This window comes from Homo sapiens, chromosome 7 (genome assembly GCF_000001405.40).
Source record: "Homo sapiens chromosome 7, GRCh38.p14 Primary Assembly".
NCBI lineage: Eukaryota > Metazoa > Chordata > Mammalia > Primates > Hominidae > Homo > Homo sapiens.
This window is the reverse complement of record NC_000007.14, coordinates 24,775,766-24,793,971: the sequence shown is the minus strand read 5'-3', so window position 1 is coordinate 24,793,971 and position 18,206 is coordinate 24,775,766. Positions and strand designations below refer to the sequence as shown.

General features: G+C 43.5%; 1 protein-coding gene across 1 annotated transcript in view, besides 1 other annotated feature; it reads left to right on the top strand.

Moving 5' to 3' along the window:
- The window catches only part of GSDME (gasdermin E), a 97,185-nt gene that overhangs the window by 1,568 nt on the left and 77,411 nt on the right, over positions 1 to 18,206 (top strand). Inside the window, exon 2 of the mRNA XM_024446670.2 lies at positions 9,439 to 9,651. The gene's annotated coding sequence lies outside the window, so the exon portion shown is untranslated. The remainder of the gene's footprint in view (positions 1 to 9,438; positions 9,652 to 18,206) is intronic.
- Positions 4,196 to 4,396: a silencer, noted in NCBI's record as "peak6442 fragment used in MPRA reporter construct". NCBI's record gives its function as "represses an SCP1 promoter by STARR-seq MPRAs in K562 erythroleukemia cells {active_cell/tissue: K562}" and the evidence as "EXISTENCE:reporter gene assay evidence [ECO:0000049][PMID:32103011]".

The window sequence follows — 18,206 nt, the reverse complement described above, 5'->3', positions numbered from 1 at the left end:
GACAACCCGTAGCCTTCCTATCAAAATTCCTTAACCCAGTAACCCGTGGATGGCCCAAATACATTCAATCTGTAGTGGCAACAGCTTTGCTAACAGAAAAAAAGTAGAAAAATAACTTTTAAAGGAAACCTCACTGTGAGCACACCTCACCAGTTCAGAACTATCCTAAGTTAAAAAAAAAAAAAAAGAAAAGGGGGGTAGAATTTATGTAAAAAGAACGTTATATATTACATTCTTGTCCTAAAATAAATTAACTGGTTGTTTAAAGAAAGGGATGTTTGCAATAAGTCAGAAAGTTGAGACATGTTGAAGAATTGTCTGTGAAAGTCGTGAAACAAGAAAAAAAATGTGTGTTATAAAAAAGGAATTTATGCAAGAAATGTTGTATAATTTAAAAGTAATTAGGCCTCCTGAATGTAAAACTGTTGAAGGAACAGTTTATATGCAAAGTGTGTAAGAAAAGTAAAATATATTTTTAGTAAAAGGATTATAAGGAGGCATAAAAATGTAGATTTTTACCTACATTAAAAGGTTTTTAAAAATTTTGTTTTGAAGATTTAAGCAAGTTTTAAAATGTTAACTGTAAAGAAAATTCTGTGTATAAACATATTAGCTAAAGTTAAAGGGGTATCATCCAGTTTTTCTGTGAACTGGACATTAAAGTAAAAACACCACGGGTTTTTCTTAAAGCACTAACCTGCTCTTTTACAAAAATTATAAAAGGTTGAAGAGAGTCTATAAAAAATCTTACCTTATGGTCAGACATTAAAAATTGAATAAATATGTCTACAAAGTTTTATTAAAACTAAGTGTAACATTAATAACACACTAATATAAAGGTGAAATTTAGCTTATCTGGTATAAAAGTGATACAGGAAGCATTGTCAAATATAAAATGGTGTTTGGCTTTCTTTGGTCTAAAAACTAATAAAAATAGGTGCAAAAGGAAATTTCTCAGTAAGAAGGCACCAAGGTACTATAAAATCTGCTGCTGATGTCCCACATTTAAAACAAAAGGTCAGTTTCTTAGAAATTATATACTTGGTTTATCTTCCACTTTCCTTTCCCTCAAAACTAAAAGTCTTTTAGCACATGTACTACCCTTAGAATTTCTGGTAAACCAGCACCAGCCTGAAAATTACGTTCTTATCAAAGGGTGGAAAAAAGAAAAACTTGAGCCAGCCTGGGAAGGACCCTACCTTGCGCTGCTAACCACCGAGACTGCTGTTTGTACAGCAAAAAAGGGATGGACTCATCACACCCGAGTCAAGAAAGCACCACCTGCTCCAGAGTTGTGGGCCATAGTCCCAGGGGAAAACCCTACCAAACTAAAGCTAAGAAAAATTTAACTCTTTCATCTATTCTATTACTCTTTCTTCTTTCCTGGCTCTATTGCTGACCATCTAGTTATTAACATAACCAAGTCAATTTCGCCTCAAACTTGCATTTAATGCTTGCCTTGTTATACCTTGTGGGGACTTGCCAAGTCAAAGACAGACCTCTACTTCAGAAAAGTACCTCTCTCCCTCCTGACTCTTCTCAGACTAGGCATTAGTAAATTAGGACCATTTTATCTGAGGAGATTTCGACAAAGACCCCAGTGTTAACCAGGAGTCTTGCCCCCCAATATACAGCTTTTATGCCATAATTGGTCCAACGTTCTGTGGACCATTAAAGAGCAAGGATGGACTGCCCCAACCAGTTTTTGTAATTTCCTGAAACCATACATTCATTTTATTAGAGGATCATAGAAGTTAAAGGCTTAAAACAAACTTTGACAATTAAGACAGGATACCAAGATGCAAATGTCTGGTTGGAATGAATCAAATATACCGTTGGCATGTTAAACAAAAGCAATTGTTATGCTTGTGCACATGGCAGGCCAGAGGCCCAGATTGTCCCCTTTCCACTAAGGTAGTCCTCCAGTCGACCAGGCATGGACTTCATGGTAGCTCTTTTCCAGGATTCTACAGCCTGGAGTAATAGGTTGTGCCAAGCTGTCTCTGCTATATCCCAAAGTCCAGCACCCTGTGGGTCAGCCCCCGAGGGCCATCCAGCTTCCTTCTCCCAACACTAAGTTCACTTCGTGTCTCTCACGACAGCAAGGAAACTTAGCATTCCCTGGAGACCTGAAGGGATGCAGTGAGCTTAAGAATTTTCAAGAGTTTATCAATAAGTCAGCCCTTGTTCATCCCCGAGAGGATGTCTGGTGGTATTGTGGCGGACCTTTACTGGACACTCTGCCGAATAACTGGAGTGGCACTTGTGCTTTAGTCCAATTGGCTATCTCTTTCACCCTGGCATTTCATCAACCAGAATGAGGGCAGGTGATAGAAGAAGATGGATCCGGTTATCAGATGGAAGAATAGCCATGCCACAACTGCTAGGAGCTGCAGTCGTACTGGCTGTGCATGAGACCACCCACCTAGGCCAAGAGTCACTTGAAAAGTTGTTAGGCCAGTACTTCTACATCTTGCATCTGTCAGCCCTTGCCAAAACAGTGGCACAGCAGTGTGTCACCTCCTAGCAGCACAATGCTAGGCAAGGTCTAACTGTCCTGCCTGGCATACAGGCTTATGGAGCAGCCCCCTTTGAAGATCTCCAAGTAGACTTCACCAAGATGCCCAAACGTGGAGAGCTCATCCCTAGGTTTGGACTGCCCTTATGAATTGGCTTGGACAATGGGCTGGTGTTTGTGGCTGACTTGGTACAGAAGACAGCAAAGGTGATCAGGTGTAGATCAAGGATTAGAACATAGCCCTCTTGCAGCCACGGTGAAAAGGACCCCAGACTGTGGTCTTGACCACTCCCACAGTGGTCAAGGAATCCCAGCCTGGATCCACCACAGCCCCATGAAACCCGCAGCACCTGAGACCTGGGAGGCAAGACCAAGCCCGGAGAATCCCTGCAAAGTGACTCTGAAGAAGACGACAAGCCCTGATCCAGTCACACCTGGAAGCTGACTGGTCCATGCATGGCCAAAGCATGAGGAAACTCACCATGGGATTTATTTTCCTTAAATTTTGGACTTGTATGGTAGGGACTTAAACTGATCTTCCTCAAACTAAGGATTGTTCCCAGTGTATACATCAGGTCACTAAGGTAGGGCAAAAAGTTAAAACTGTCTTTTTGTTCTATAGTTATTATAAATGTGCTGGAACCCTAAAAGGGACTTGTTTGTATAATGCCACCCAGTACAAGGGATGTAGCCAAGAAGTGCCCAGCCTGATGTGTGTTATAACCCATCTGAGCCCCCTATGGTCACAGTGTTTAAAATAAAATTAAGAACAGTCACCTGGTGGGGTCTAAACCATACTAAAAAGAATCCATTTAGTAAATTCCCAAAGTTGCAAACCGTGTGGACCCACCTGGAGTCCCACCGGGACTGGACAGCCCCCACCAGATTATACTGGATATGTGGGCATAGAGTTTACGCCAAATTACCCAACCAGTGGGCAGGTAGTTGTGTTATTGGCACTATTAAACCATCCTTCTTCCTACTGCCCATAAAAACAGGCGAACTCCTGGGCTTCCCTGTCTATGCTTCCCGTGAAAAGAGAAGCATAGCTATAGGTAATTGGAAAGTTGATGAATGGCCCCCTGAGAGAATCATACAATACTATGAGCCTGCTACTTGGGCACAAGATGGCTCATGGGGATATGGGACCCCCATTTACATGCTCACCCAAATCATATGGTTACAAGCTGTCTTAGAAATAATCACTAATAAAACTGGCAGAGCCTTGACTATTCTGGCCCAGCAAGAAACTCAGATGAGAAATGCTATCTATCAAAATAGATTGGCTCTTGACTACTTGCTAGCAGCTGGGGGAGGGGTTACTAATTGCTGTCTACATATAGATGATCAAGGGCAAGTAGTTGAAGACATAGTTAGAGATATGACAAAACTGGCACATGTGCCCATGCAAGTATGGCATGGATTTGATTGTGGGGCCATGTTTGGAAAATGGTTCCCAGTGTTAGGAGGATTTAAAACTCTTATAATAGGAATTATAATAGTAATAGGAACCTGCTTACTACTCCCTTGTTTGCTACCTGTACTCCTTCAAATGATAAAAAACCTTCATCGCTACCTTAGTTCACCAAAATGCTTCAGCACAAGTGTACTATATGAATCACTATCGATCTGTCCTACAAGAAGACATGGGTAGTGAGAATGAAAGTGAGAACTCTCACTATTCAGTGAGATTCTCAAAGGTGGAAATAAGGGAGGCGACCACTCCTCATATTGTCTTATGCCCAATTTCTGCCTCCAAAGAAAGAAGCAGCAAAAACTAAAAGGCAGAAATGAAATCCACAGGCAGATAGCCCAGCTTGCGCCCTGGGCCTGGTAGTTAAAAATCAACTCCTGACCTAACTGCTTCTGTTATCTATAGATTCCAGACATTGTATGGAAAAGCATTGTGAAAATCCCTGTCCTGTTCTGTTCCGTTCTGATTACCGGTGCATGCAGCCCCCAGTCATGTACCCCTTGCTTGCTTAATTGATCACGACCTGCTCACGCGGACCCCCTTGTAAGCCCTTAAAAGGGACAGGAATTGCTCACTCAGGGAGCTTGGTTTTTTGAGACATAAGTCTGCCGATGCTCCCAGCCGAATAAAGCCCTTTCCTTCCTCAACTCTGTGTCTGGGGGGTTTTGTCTGTGGCTCGTCCTGCTACATTCACAGGCGTGTGTGTGTGTGTGTGTGTCCTAATGTGAAAAAGGAAAATGCTTACTACTCAAACCAACATATTCACCCTTATGAATAATTAACTCATTTCCCATACCTGAGTTGTGTCTTTTGCAATACCAGAAACACCCTTAGCACTCCCTAAAGTTCCATTTGCTTCCTTTGATATATTAATGGTGTTACACAATGCACTATATTGCAGAGTTACTGACATAAAGTCACATCTCTGCATCCCTGAAAACACTTAAAAAGAGACATCCAAAAGCAATTCACGAACCCTGATTGGATCCTGGCTTGAAAGAAAAGGAAAAACAAGCTATAAAAGACATTTGCATAACAGTTAGTGGAATTTGCATATGAACATAATGAAATTATTGCCAATTTTCCTATGCATATTGTGATATTGCCTGTTGAACTGAATCAAATCTGCCATTAAAGGAGGACTGTTTTTCAGCATTATTCAAAATAATGTGTTATGGGCACTAAAGTATATCTTTAAAGGCAGCCTCGGAATATTTTAACATGATGGTACTGAGACATCCTAAGGTGTCAGCTTTGAGAAGGCAATACAATTTGGAGGCATAAGTTCCAAGCCATTAGTTTAGAAATTGAGTCATACCAGTGAAATACCAGCATTATCACCGTTAATGTCCGTCAGTGATTAGCACATCAGGACATCACTGTCCCCTTAGATGATAGCAGTAAAGGATTTCTTTTTATGGGCTTATTAGTTGGTGCCCCTGCAGGAAACAGAATCCAACTCAGATGGTTTGAGAGACTTAAATGAAGGGACTACTTATAAGGCTGTGAGCAGGCTGAAGTCACCGAGAGATTAGCAACAGTGGGAAGTGGGTACTGCCCAGCCAGTAGCTGGAGCTCCTGAGGAGGGGACAGCCATCGGGAGCTACAGCTGTAGAGAGACATGCGGCGTCTGCCAGAAAAATTCAGCCCAGAGTAAGGAAGAACTATCCCAGGCCCTGTCTCCTCGGGGCACCACTCATCGCAGTGCCCCCTAGTGGCTGAACCCGAGAGAGCCCCAGAGCCCCAGGGTGCAGTTCTTAGGGCTCAGTCCCTGGGGCAGGGGAAGAGCCAGGGCAAATAGAAAAATAAGCCCTTTATATTCACCAGAATAGTTCATGTCTGAGTGTTTGGACGCATTTTCAGTAAGTAGATACGCATAAGAGCCTTGGAGAGGGTAGAATTTGTTCAGTGCTTTTGGCTCCCATTTATTTTACCAAAGGCAAATTATGATCAACTGTGCTTTTAAAAAACTCTTTGGCCAGTGTGGTGGCTCACACCTGTAATCCCAGCACTTTGGGAGGCCGAGGTGGGCAGGTCACAAGGCCAAGAGTTTGAGACCAACCTGGCTAACATGGTGAAACCCCGTCTCTACTAAAAATACAAAAATTAGCTGGGTGTGGTGGCACGTGCCTGTAATCCCAGCTACTCAGGAGGCTGAGGCAGGAGAATTGCTTGAACCCAGGAGGCAGAGGTTGCAGTGAGCCGAGATTGTGCCACTGCACCCCAGCCTGGGCGACAGAGCGAGACTCTGTCTCAAAAACATAAATAAATAAAAATAAACCCACAAAAAACAAAAAAAAAACCTCTTTGGTTCTCCATGATACTATTACTGTTGTAATGGCTTTAATGAGCCAAGAGCATGCTGTCTTCTTTATTAACTGCCGTAATTTAAACAAATATTAGACTAGAAAAGGTATATCGACATAAGCAGTGATTCTCAGATTTGGCTAATGTCCTGGTGGTAAGTTACACACACACCACTGCCACCACCACTACCACCAAGTCCCGGCAGGTAGTTCAGACCCAGATAGCACCATACGGTTTGTGGATCAGCATTTGATCAGCACATAGCTGGGACACCACCTTCTAATTTCATGATTATTCTAGGACCTCAAAAATGGCATGTGGTTTACAACGATGTGCTTCTTTTCATTGAGTTTCATTTATTGCTTTTGTACTGTCTTTGAAAATGAGTAGGGGCCATGTTCCCTCCTTCCCCTGTGATGCCTGTTGGATGCACATGAGAGGACGTGGCAGCCAGCGTGACTCATGGTTCCTCTCCATGCTAAGTAAGCCACAACGCTGCTGCCCAACTTAGGTCACAATGAAATTTTTGATGTGTCACAGTATCTCGTGTTTCCTCAGCCCAGAGGCATGAGACAAAGGTTGGAGAGTAGATGCCAGCAGTACTTGGCTGGTTAAGGGAACCAGAGGAGGCCAAGGAAATCATGCCCAAGGCCCTCACCTCTTTCCAGTGCCACAGATCGCATAAGCCACCACCTCCAGTGCCCCCACCACATCCAAATACAATCTTAGGGAGTAACAGTGAGGCCAGAACCCAGGGAATTAAGAGAGAGGTCATCTCTCCAAAAGCAACTGTGCATGACCACAGCCGACTGCCTACATGATCAGATTAGGCTGTTTTTTTATTGTGATGAAATATACATAAATTTGTCATTTTAACCATTTTTAAGTATGCAATTCAGTAATATTAAACACATTCACATTGCTGTGCAGCCATCACGACTGTCCACCTCCAAAACTTTTTCACCATCCCAAACTGAAACTCTGTACCCATTTAGACTAAATTTTAAACAAAGTTCGAACTTCAGTTAACTTTTTCTTGCTCACCAATATGTGAAGGGCTCGTGAGGACCAGGTCAGTCATTGACAAGATGACAGAATCTTTTTCTCACTTCTGAGTTGTAGTGTGAGTTTTGCAACCCCACTCCGAAAGCCTCACAACAACCCCATTTAGGCAATCCCCATTTGTCAGAAGCATTCACTAAGGACTGGAAGTTAAGCAACTTGACCAAACTCTCACAACTCACTGCTGATGGTGAGGGCTACGAGTGTGTCTGCATGTTTCCAAGGGCACCTCCTTGTGCTACAACACAAGATACAAGCAGAGTGATTCCAATATCCCTTTCCCTTCCAAGTTTAAATGTTTGTTCTTTAATCTTAATTCCAAAGTTTTCCTCGGGTTTTTGAAGTGGACACAGGCAACCCGGTACACAGAAAAGAACCCCAGGATGGGAATTGGGGAACTTATCTCTAGTTAGTGGGTAGACTTTGGGTAGGCCACTTACCTCTGCAAATCTCACGTGCCCCAACAGCAGATGGACAGATTATCATTAAAGCTCTATACTGCCACTCTATGATCCCCAGAATAAGTAGAAATGGTCTGCAGTCAATCAACAACTATTCGTGACCACCAGACATGTGCCAGACACAGCCCTGCCCTCACGGAGCTTACCTATAGATTGCAAGATCTGCCCTCAATTATTCTTTTCTTTTTAATCCTAAAAGTGAAATTATTTGGCCATCTGGAAGAATTATATTGGATATGTATATTGAGGGATTGTGAGACGGTAGAATCAATAGATTGCAGATAGCCATGGGGCTGAAGAATTGCTGGAGACAGAGGGCTAGAAGGAAGGAACTGGAAAGATAGGAAGTGGCAGCCTAAGACCAGTGTGCTTGACATGTTTAAAACAAGTGAATTGGCTGGGCACGGTGGCTCATGCCTGTAATCCCAGCACTTTGGGAGGCCAAGGCAGGTGGATCATGAGGTCAGGAGATCGAGACCATCCTGGCCAATGTGGTGAAACCCCATCTCTGCTAAAATACAAAAAAATTAGCCGGGCATGGTGGCATGTGCCTGTAGTCCCAGCTACTCAGGAGGCTGAGGCAGGGGAATCGCTTGAACCCATGAGGTGGAGGTTGCAGTGAGCTGAGATCGCGCCACTGCACTCCAGACTGGTGACAGAGCAAGACTCCATCTCAAAAAAACAAACAAACAAACAAAAAAGTGAATTATGGACTAAATAAATATTGAAACCCTTTTACATTAAAAGAGAGATTGTGATCATTATTTAGTTGATATTTCTTTAGTATTTTCTGGTCAGGAACTATGCTATTAGCACATTATAAAATAAATAGTGAAATTGCAACTCAAGGTACAGTGCTATATCCAAAGGATCTGCAATTTTTTTTAAGTCAGGTAGTACATATCTTAGGCTCTGCAGACCACATGGTCTCTGTTACACTGAACTCTGCTGTTATAGCCCAAAGCATCCAGAGACAATAAGTACATGAATGGGCGTAGCTGTGTTCCAACAAAAGTTTATTTTTAAAAAACAGGCATCAGGCGGGACTCAAACTGCAGACTACAGTTTGCTGACACCTACTTTACCCAAAGCACTGTCTATAGGTGCCTGTGATGGTTAATAGTGTTAACTTGATTGGATGGAAGGGTGCAAAGTATTGTCCCTGGCTGTGTCTATGAGGGTGTTGCCAGAGGAGATTAACATTTGAGTCAGTGGATTGGGAGAGGAAGACTCACCCTCAGTGTGGGTGGGCACCATCCAATCAGCTGCCAGTGAGGCTAGAAAAAGGCAGTCCGGGCGCGGTGGCTCACACCTGTAAGCCCAGCACTTTTGGAGGCCAAGGCAGGTGGATCACTTGAGGTCAGGAGTTTGAGACCAGCCTGGCCAGCATGGTGAAATGCCATCTCTACTAAAAATACAAAAATTAGCCAGCAGTGGTGGCAGGCACCTGTAGTCCCAGCTACTCGGGAGGCTGAGGCAAGAGAATTGCCGAGACTCTGTCTCAAAAAAAAAAAAAAAAAAAAGGAAGAAGAAAAAAAGCAGGGGGAAGAAGGTGGGATCAGCTGGCTTGCTAAGTCTTCCCACTCTCATCTTTCTCTCTTGCTGGATGCTTCCAGCTCTTGAACATCAGATTCCAGGTTCTGCAGCCTTTGGACTCTTGGACTTAGACCAGTGGTTTGCCGGGGGATCTCAGATCTTCAGCCACATACTGAAGTCTGCACTGTTGGCTTCCCTACTTTTGAGGCTTTGGAACTCTGACTGAGCAACTACTGGCTTCGTTGCTCCTCAGCTTGCAGGTGGCCTATCGTGGGACTTCACCTTGTGATCACGTGAGTCAGTTCTCCTTAGTAAACTCCCCTTTATATATAGCCTATTAGTTCTGTGTATGTTTTCCTATTAGTTCTGTCCCTCCGCAGAACCCTGACTAATACAGTGCCCATGGATAAGTCCTCTCTCAAGCCATCATAGAAGAAAGTCAAATTTCCAAGAAACACACACCTGAAATTCAATCAAAGTAAAGAAAGGCAAACTACTCTTTGGATCTTAGGCTCATAGAATCTTGGCAATGAGAGCATTGGAAAAGCAAACACCTTGGCCAGGCTCATCCAAAACTGTGGCTTCTCCTCCACAGAGAACGCCTGCCAGTGTCTGCTGCAGCCTCTCCATGCCTGACCTCTCCTGACCTTGCCATCCACATTTCCACTGCCTGTGGAAATCCCCTGGGGCATCTCAAACTCAACACATCCAAGGATGAAATCATCTTCCCCACGCCCAACCCATTCCTCTCTTCTCTGTCTCAGTAAATGTCACTACCACCCATAAGCTCACACAAGGAGCCTGGGAGTAATTCTAGACTCCTCCCCTCCCTAATCCCCATGTTCATGGGGACTAAGTCCTGCCCACCCTGCCTGTGAAGTTCCCCTCCCTCAGCCCCAGAACCCCTGCCTCAGGTCAGACTCTTAGAATGGAGCCCCTGTCTGCAGTCCCAACTCCCACCCATTCATACTCTTAGCTGCCACCAGAGTGATTTTTCTAAAATCAGGTCATATCATTAATCTGCTTGTAAACCTTCTCTGCTCCAAACACCTCAGCGTGATGTGTGTATAATACTGCAGTCACAAGCTTGGCCTTTGAATGAGAGAAATCACATTTGAATCTCAGCTCAGCTATTCTGAGCCTCGGTGTCCTCAGTTCTAAACTGGAGCAAACCCCCGAGGGTAGTTGTGGGGATCGCTGGTTGCTGCCATTTCTGGAGCATTCACTCCATAAATGTGCAAGACACTGTTCTAAGGCTCCCTTACTGTCCCCATTTTATACTGGAAGAAATTGAGCCCTAGGTTAGGTAACTTGCTTACAGCTACAATCTTGTACTTGATAAAGCCAGGATGTGAATGCTCTGAGCCTCTAAGCCAGCAGTTCTCAGAGTGTGGTCTTGGGAATCTCAAGACCCATGCATGAGGTATGCAAGGCCTCAACTGTTTCCATAAAAAATATTAAGACACTGTTTACCTTTTCCTCTTTCATTTTCCATGAGTGTACAGTGGAGTTTTCCAGAAGCTACATGACATGTGAGAGTACAACAGGATAATGCAGAAGCAAGTATGAGAATCCCACTGTCTTCTTTTAAGCTACACATCAATTAGATTTGCAAAAATATAAAGCAAAGCTATTCTTCCCTCTATTTTTTTGTTTTGGTGACTCTAGCTATATTTCATTAAAAATGTGTTTTTGCAAACAACCCCATCAAAAAGTGGGCAAAGGATATGAACAGACACTTCTCAAAAGAAGACATTTATGTAGCTAACATGTACATGAAAAAATACTCATCATCACTGGTCATCAGAGAAATGCAAATCAAAACCACAATGAGATACCATCTCACACCAGTTAGAATGGCAATCATTAAAAAGTCAGGAAACAACAGGTGCTGGAGAGGATGTGGAGAAACAGGAACAGTTTTACACTGTTGGTGGGACTGTAAACTAGTTCAACCATTGTGGAAGACAGTGTGGTAATTCCTCAAGGATCTAGAACTAGAAATACCATTTGACCCAGCCATCCCATTACTGGGTATATACCCAAAGGATTCTAAATCATGCTACTATAAAGACACATGCACACGTATGTTTATTGTGGCACTACTCACAATAGCAAAGACTTGGAACCAACCCAAATGTCCATCAATGATAGACTGGATTAAGAAAATGTGGCATATATACACCATGGAATACTATGCAGCCATAAATAAAGATGAATTCATGTCCTTTGTAGCGACATGGATGAAACTGGAAACCATCATTCTGAGCAAACTATCGCAAGGACAAAAAACCAAACACTGCATGTTCTCACTCATAGGTGGGAATTGAACAATGAGAACACTTGGACATAGGAAGGGGAACATCACACACCGGGGCCTGTTGTGGGGTGGGGGGAGGGGGGAGGGATAGCATTAGGAGATATACCTAACGTAAATGACGAGTTAATGGGTGCAGCACACCAACATGGCACATGTAAACATATGTAACAAACCTGCACATTATACACATGTATCCTAGAACTTAAAGTATAATAAAAAATAAATTAATTTTTAAAAGTATGTTTTTGGGCTGGGTGCTGTGGCTCATTTCTGTAATCTCAGCCATTTGGATGGCTAAAGTGGGAGGATTGCTTGAGGCCAGGAGTTTCAGACCAGCCTGGGCAACATAGCAAGACATCCTTTCTACAGAAAACAAAAAATAATTAGCTAGGTTTGGTGGCACACACCTGTAGTTCCAACTACTTGGTAGGCTGAGGTGGTTGGATTGCTTGAGCCCAGGAATTCAAGACCATAGTGAGCTATGATCAAGCCACTGAACTTCAGCCTGGACAACAGAGTGAAACCTTGTCCCCACCCCCACCCCCCAAAAGAGTGTTTTCATTAACATATAATAGGTTATTATTGATATTTTACATGAATTAATATTTTAAAATTTCTGTTTGAATTTCTAATATGATAAATATCAATAGATTTAATCCACATAAACAAACGCTCTTTGGGGTTCTTAATAGTTTTCGAAAGCATAAAGGTGCCTTAAGATCAAATAGTTTGAGAAACACAGACCTAACCAATACATACTATATGAACTGTATAGTCCTCAGCTGTACATAATATATGTAAATTGCTTATCATAGTGCCTAGTGGAGAATGAGGTGGTTTTTACTCTTTTATGAGGTGCTGTGTTGTGAATATAAATTCACCGGCCATGAGTACTGTAAGCTGCATGTCTCACGGCTTCCCCACGTGCACTTACTTCTCTTCTGTGTTAGATTGAACAACTCTCAGCCCAGATCTCCATGCCTTTGTGCATGCTGTTCCTCTTTGAGAAGTGTCTCCTCCCACATCTGCTTCCCCTTAAGACTCAGCTCCAGCACCCACACCTTCTAGACGCCTGTCTGGAGTTAGGCTGTACACCTCTCCTGCCTGTCTGTGGTCACACTGACTTGGGCAGGAGGTCATGTTGATCTCCTTGGAAAGGGACCAGAGAGGAAGATTTTGTCACTACCCATTCAGTACATCTGAGAAAGATGCGCTTTTCATGGTACATAACAATTTCCCCATCACTAGACCAATGTGTGCAAGAGCTGAAGAAACATGATGGGCCACGCCAGTGTTTCCCAAAATGGGGCCTGAGTCCCTGCGTCAAGGTCACCTGGGTACATGTTAAAATGCAGAGTCCTGGGTGAGTTAGGCCTTCTGAGGGTAGGGGCTGGAAATATGATTTTTTAAACCAAATTCTTTGAGGGAATTGGGTGATTCTTATACACACCAAACTCAGAACCAATCTTCTAGATCCTACTAGGCTCCAGAAGAGGCAGCATGCCATCTACTGGGTAGACAAAGGTCACTAAGACCCTGCTCTGCCGCTTGCGGAGTTCATGCTCTCTGGGAGAATTATACTGCATTGAGAGAGGGCGTAACCACCTGTGAATATTTACAACGCATAGAAACTTAACAAAGGGAGGAGTTAGTTCCATTTCAGGGAAGATTTCACAGAAGACATGACATTCAAGTTGCTCTGAATGGGCATTTTTCAGGCAGAGCAAGGCCACGAAGCTATCCAGGCAAGAAGGGTGTGTACAAAGCGGTAGGAGTGTGAAAATGTGTGGCACCAACAGAGAAGGGCAGAAAACAGCTCAAATCCTTTGCTTGGATGTTATGTTTCTTGGTTATGCTCAACTAAGAAACTTCCTGAATATTAATTTGGTTTTTCATCTGCTGTGTACCAGATGATAAACATGAGTTTTCTCGCCATTGGAGAGAGATTTGCACAGCCTATATTACAAATCAATAAACTGATATCCTGGTTTATACGCTGACCTTTGGCTAGGGTGTATCAATACCCCATAACTTAATCAATATATCAGGTGGCAAAATTAAGTTTCTAATATGTAACTCTAGGTCCTGGCTGTGATTTCACAAGGCGGGAACTTTGCATGGGACCTGCCAGAAGGGCCAGCCAACTTCTCGGACGTCCTGCCAGGGATGCTGGAGATGGCCTCAGCCATTTATTCATCCTCCTTCTTACTTACTTATTAGCAGAACTTTAATTCTCTTTGTATGTGGGCAGCCTTGTGCTTGAAGCAGGGCGGAGCCCCTTCCCAGCCCCAAGACCCTGATCAGGCTGAGCCTAGACAGCATTCCTGCTCCTGCCATTAGCTGCCTTCAGAATGGGCGTGGGATAAAGTTCTGGCCAATGAGATGAGGGCGAAATGTGCTGGCAGCTTTGGAAATGTTTTCCACAATCTGAGAAAGGGGCTGAAGAGAGAAGCATCTCCTTTCCAGCCTAGGGATGCTGTTGGTGTGGACTGTTTCTGCAGTCATCCTGAGGCCAAGAAGGGGCGAGCCTGAGGATGGTGCCAGGGCACTGAGGATGGCAGCGAGAGATGGTGGAAAGAGCCCAGGCTGCTGGCAATCTCTCTGAGCCTCCGAATCCACTCGCCCCAGAACTGCTCTTCCTCTGCACGTCTTGATACGTGAAATGACAGATGTATGTCTTTTCTGGTTAGGCCATTTTTAGTGGGGTTTTCTGTTTTCTTTTTTTTTCCCCTGATGAAAGCCCATTGATGGCACAACACACAGACACACACACACACACACACACACACACACACCATGTATCACTTCCCCACCCTGGGAACTGAGATAAAGGTGTAGGAATGTAGGAACAGCCATACTCCTGGGCCTCCAGAGACTCTAATACATTTATGAAACTGGAGGATTATTCAGGAACCCACCCACTTCTATCAATAAGATTAACTTTTCCTTCTCAAGAATAAGTTAATCCTCTCCACAGGGCCTGGCTGCCTCTGCCTTTGCCATTCTGCAGTTACTAACCACTTTCTTACCTGAATGTCTTTGCTCTACCTCATGGCTTCTACTCATAGCTTCTGCTGCCTAATTTCTTTCTAGATATCTTTCAGCTTCTGCATCTGACTAACCAACTTCCCGTATCTGCCTTTCAGTTATTTTAGGAAAGAGTCATAGCCTCGTATGTTAAGGCTGTTGCATCAGGCTGTCTCATCGGCTGCTGGAAGTTGGCTGCACTTGGGTCATGGGATGAGCTCCAGTCCACTCAGCTGAGGCTTAGGTGGAGGTCACATGGGACCAGCATGACAATTATCCAGGAAGACCACTTAGGAGGGAGTTGTGGGGTATGGCAGGTGTTTGAGGTTTATCTGTTCAGTACTATGGCAGCTTGCAAGATGCCCTCCAAATTTATTTTCTCCTTAATCCAAACCAACAGAGAAGCTTTGACTGGGTGCATGGTTATCCAGCTAATGACAGCATTTCCCAGATTCCTGCTAGGAGTGGCCACGTAACTGGATTCTGACTAGAAAGTCATGAGCCACAGTGGTACGTGCAGCTTCTGTGTTGGCCCTTTAAAATGAAAGAGGCCACCCCTCCGTGCTTGCCCCCCTTTCCTGCTGGCTGCCCATGGGCATAAGGATGGAAGCTGGAGCAGCTGTCTCATGCCCCAAGATGGAACCTGCATGTCGGCCAGCCAACAAGGTCGATGGGCCCTGGAACCCAACACCTGGGGCAACCAATTTGTCCCGGACTTTCCCAATTCTAGTATTGGGAAGTCCTGTGAACCAGGGACCTCCTCAGCCTTGGACAAACTGGGACAAGGGTGCAACAAAACAAAATAAAAAGTCTTCCATTTGTGATTTCTTTGTTTACTTCACACTAGCCTGTCTCTTAATACAAATACATTTGGTCTAAAGATCTTTGATGACTACTTTTTTGTTGTTGCTCAGCCTCAGGTCTGATGCTGAGGTCTGAAGCTCCCTGGCCAGGCTTCTAGGCCCCAGTGTCTGGTCTATCCATGTCTGGGTTCCAGCCTTTTGTTACAAAGGCCCCTGGGAAGGCTGAGACCTGATTGCTAGCTCTAACCTGGTCCTTCTGCTTGGATCTCTCCTTCCCTTTCTGAGTAAGAAGGGACATTTTGAAACCTATTGATAATCCATTCTAACGCCACTACAGACACACATGCACATACACAGTCTTTCTCTCTCTCTCTCTCCCTCCCCCACCATTTTCTCTCTTTCTTTGTCCCTCCATCTTTTTTTTTTCATTCCCGGCCTTTTAGAGGGAGCCTTTATGGGAAACAGATGGGAAGCTGGAGTGGATTCAAGGGCACAATATATTTGTTTTTCTTTTTTAAATCACATAATACATGTTCTTAGCAGAAAAATTGGAAAAAGAATTATGGTTTCATAAACTTTGTTTTTGCTTTTGTTTTGGAGATGGGATCTCTCTATGTTGCCCAGGCTGGCCTCAAACTCCTGGGCTCAAGCGATCCTCCTGCCTCTAACTCCTGAGTAGCTGGGACTAGGACTACAGGTGCGTGCCACTGTGCCTGGCTTTCATAAACTTTTTCAAAAAGCAAAATAAATTGCAACTACAGGACATTAGGATTTAATCTCCTTTTGTCACACCATGAGACACCACTCACATCAGAGCCTGGAAGAACACTTGAGCTAAGCTAATGATCTGGGGTTAGGTGAGGGGTGCTTCTTGGAGGCAGAGGAATTCAGGCTCAGTCTTAGGTGTGGGCTTCCTGTTCAGTGACATCACCTGCAAGGTTGGCTCCAAAATGTGCCAGTGACTTTCTGTATGTCTGCATTTTTCTAGAGGAGCTCTACTTTCAAATATCCTTTCTTCCCCTAAGAGCCATCTATAAAACCGCAAACTTCCAGTGGTTCGATTCCAAAACTTCATTTCCTACACCTCTTCTTGCATTCCAAAGCATCCCTAAAAGCCTTGGTCAGCCCATGGGTGTGGTCTCTGGTTCGGATAATATACGGGGCCAGATTATGATTGATCCATAGGCAAACTAGAGGATCGCCTATGTGGACAATTTCAGGGTGTCCAAATTATGTTGCTTGATTAAAATACTTCTCCCATTTTAGATTTTTACTGAAGAGTTCAACCCGTGTAAGGAAGCCAAGGTGTTATTTTCTATACAAGCTTCTTTCGAATTCATATATTTTTAATGGCATTTTTGTTCATTTTCTTAATCATAAAAGTAATTCGTTACTTTTAGAAATAGAGAAAATATAAACAATTATTAAAATATAATACAGTGAATATAACAATTATATTATTTATAGAACTAGAAACATTTTTAATAATTATAAGCTAAAAGGAAGAATAAACTGAAAATTTCCTGAGTTCACACCACCCCAAGAAAACACTGTTAATAGTTTGGTGCACGATTTTTTACTTTTTGGCACCATCTCTATGACTATAGGTATACACACATATAAATGAATTTCCAGTCTTTTAAGAAATGAAAGAACATAATTTGCATCCAATTTCTTCAGAAAGTAAATCACCTTTAGAGCAGGAAGTGGGAATAGTGACCTAAGAAAAAGAGAATGAGGCTGACAGAGTGCCCTTTTGATTTTCATATTACCAGGCTCATTTGCTTAATAGAACTTATACCTGCTGCAGGAAGTTTTAATTAAGGCGATCCATTAAGGATTTAATTTTAATCGAATTTTTAAATGACATAAAAACAAACTCTTGATCACATATCAAAAACCTGGTTATAAGATGAAACCTAGGATTTGCTTCAAAATAAAATAGTTGGGAGTGGGGAGCTGGGTACAGATGAAACAAGATTGCTTATATGTTGATAATTATCGAGGAGGATGGTGGACACGGGAGTTTATTACACTGATCTATCTTTTTGGTATAGGTTTGATGTTTTTCCAAAATAAAAAGTTAAAACAAGTGACAATTAAACCCAGAACTGGCTCCTGGTGACAGACACAATCTGACTCAGGTCCCTGCATCTTCTCATTTTGAAGACTTCTCTTTTCTTAGAAGTACCGCCACCACGTCCACTGTGGCCTGGACCCCAGGAGCTCTTCCATATCACAACTCCTTCTTAGCAGTGATTCTTTTTTTTTTTTTTTTTTTTTGAGATGGAGTTTCACTCTTGTTGCCTAGGCTAGAGTGCAATGGCCCGGTCTCAGGTCACTGCAACCTCTGCCTCTCAGGTTCAAGCCATTCTCCTGCCTCAGCCTTCCGAGTAGCTGGGATTACAGGCTCCCGCTACCACGCCCGGCTAATTTTTGTATTTTTAGTGGAGACGAGGTTTCACCATGTTGGTCAGGCTAGTCTCAAACTCCTGACCTCAGGCAATCAGCCCACCTCAGCCTCCGAAAGTGTTGGGATTACAGGCGTGAGCCACTGTGCCTGGCCTTTTTTTTTTTTTTTTTTTTTTTGAGATGGAATCTCACTCTGTCACCCAGGCTGGAGTGCAGTGGCATGATCTTGGCTCACTGCAACTTCCACCTCCTGGGTTCAAGTGATTCTCCCACCTCAGCCTCCCAA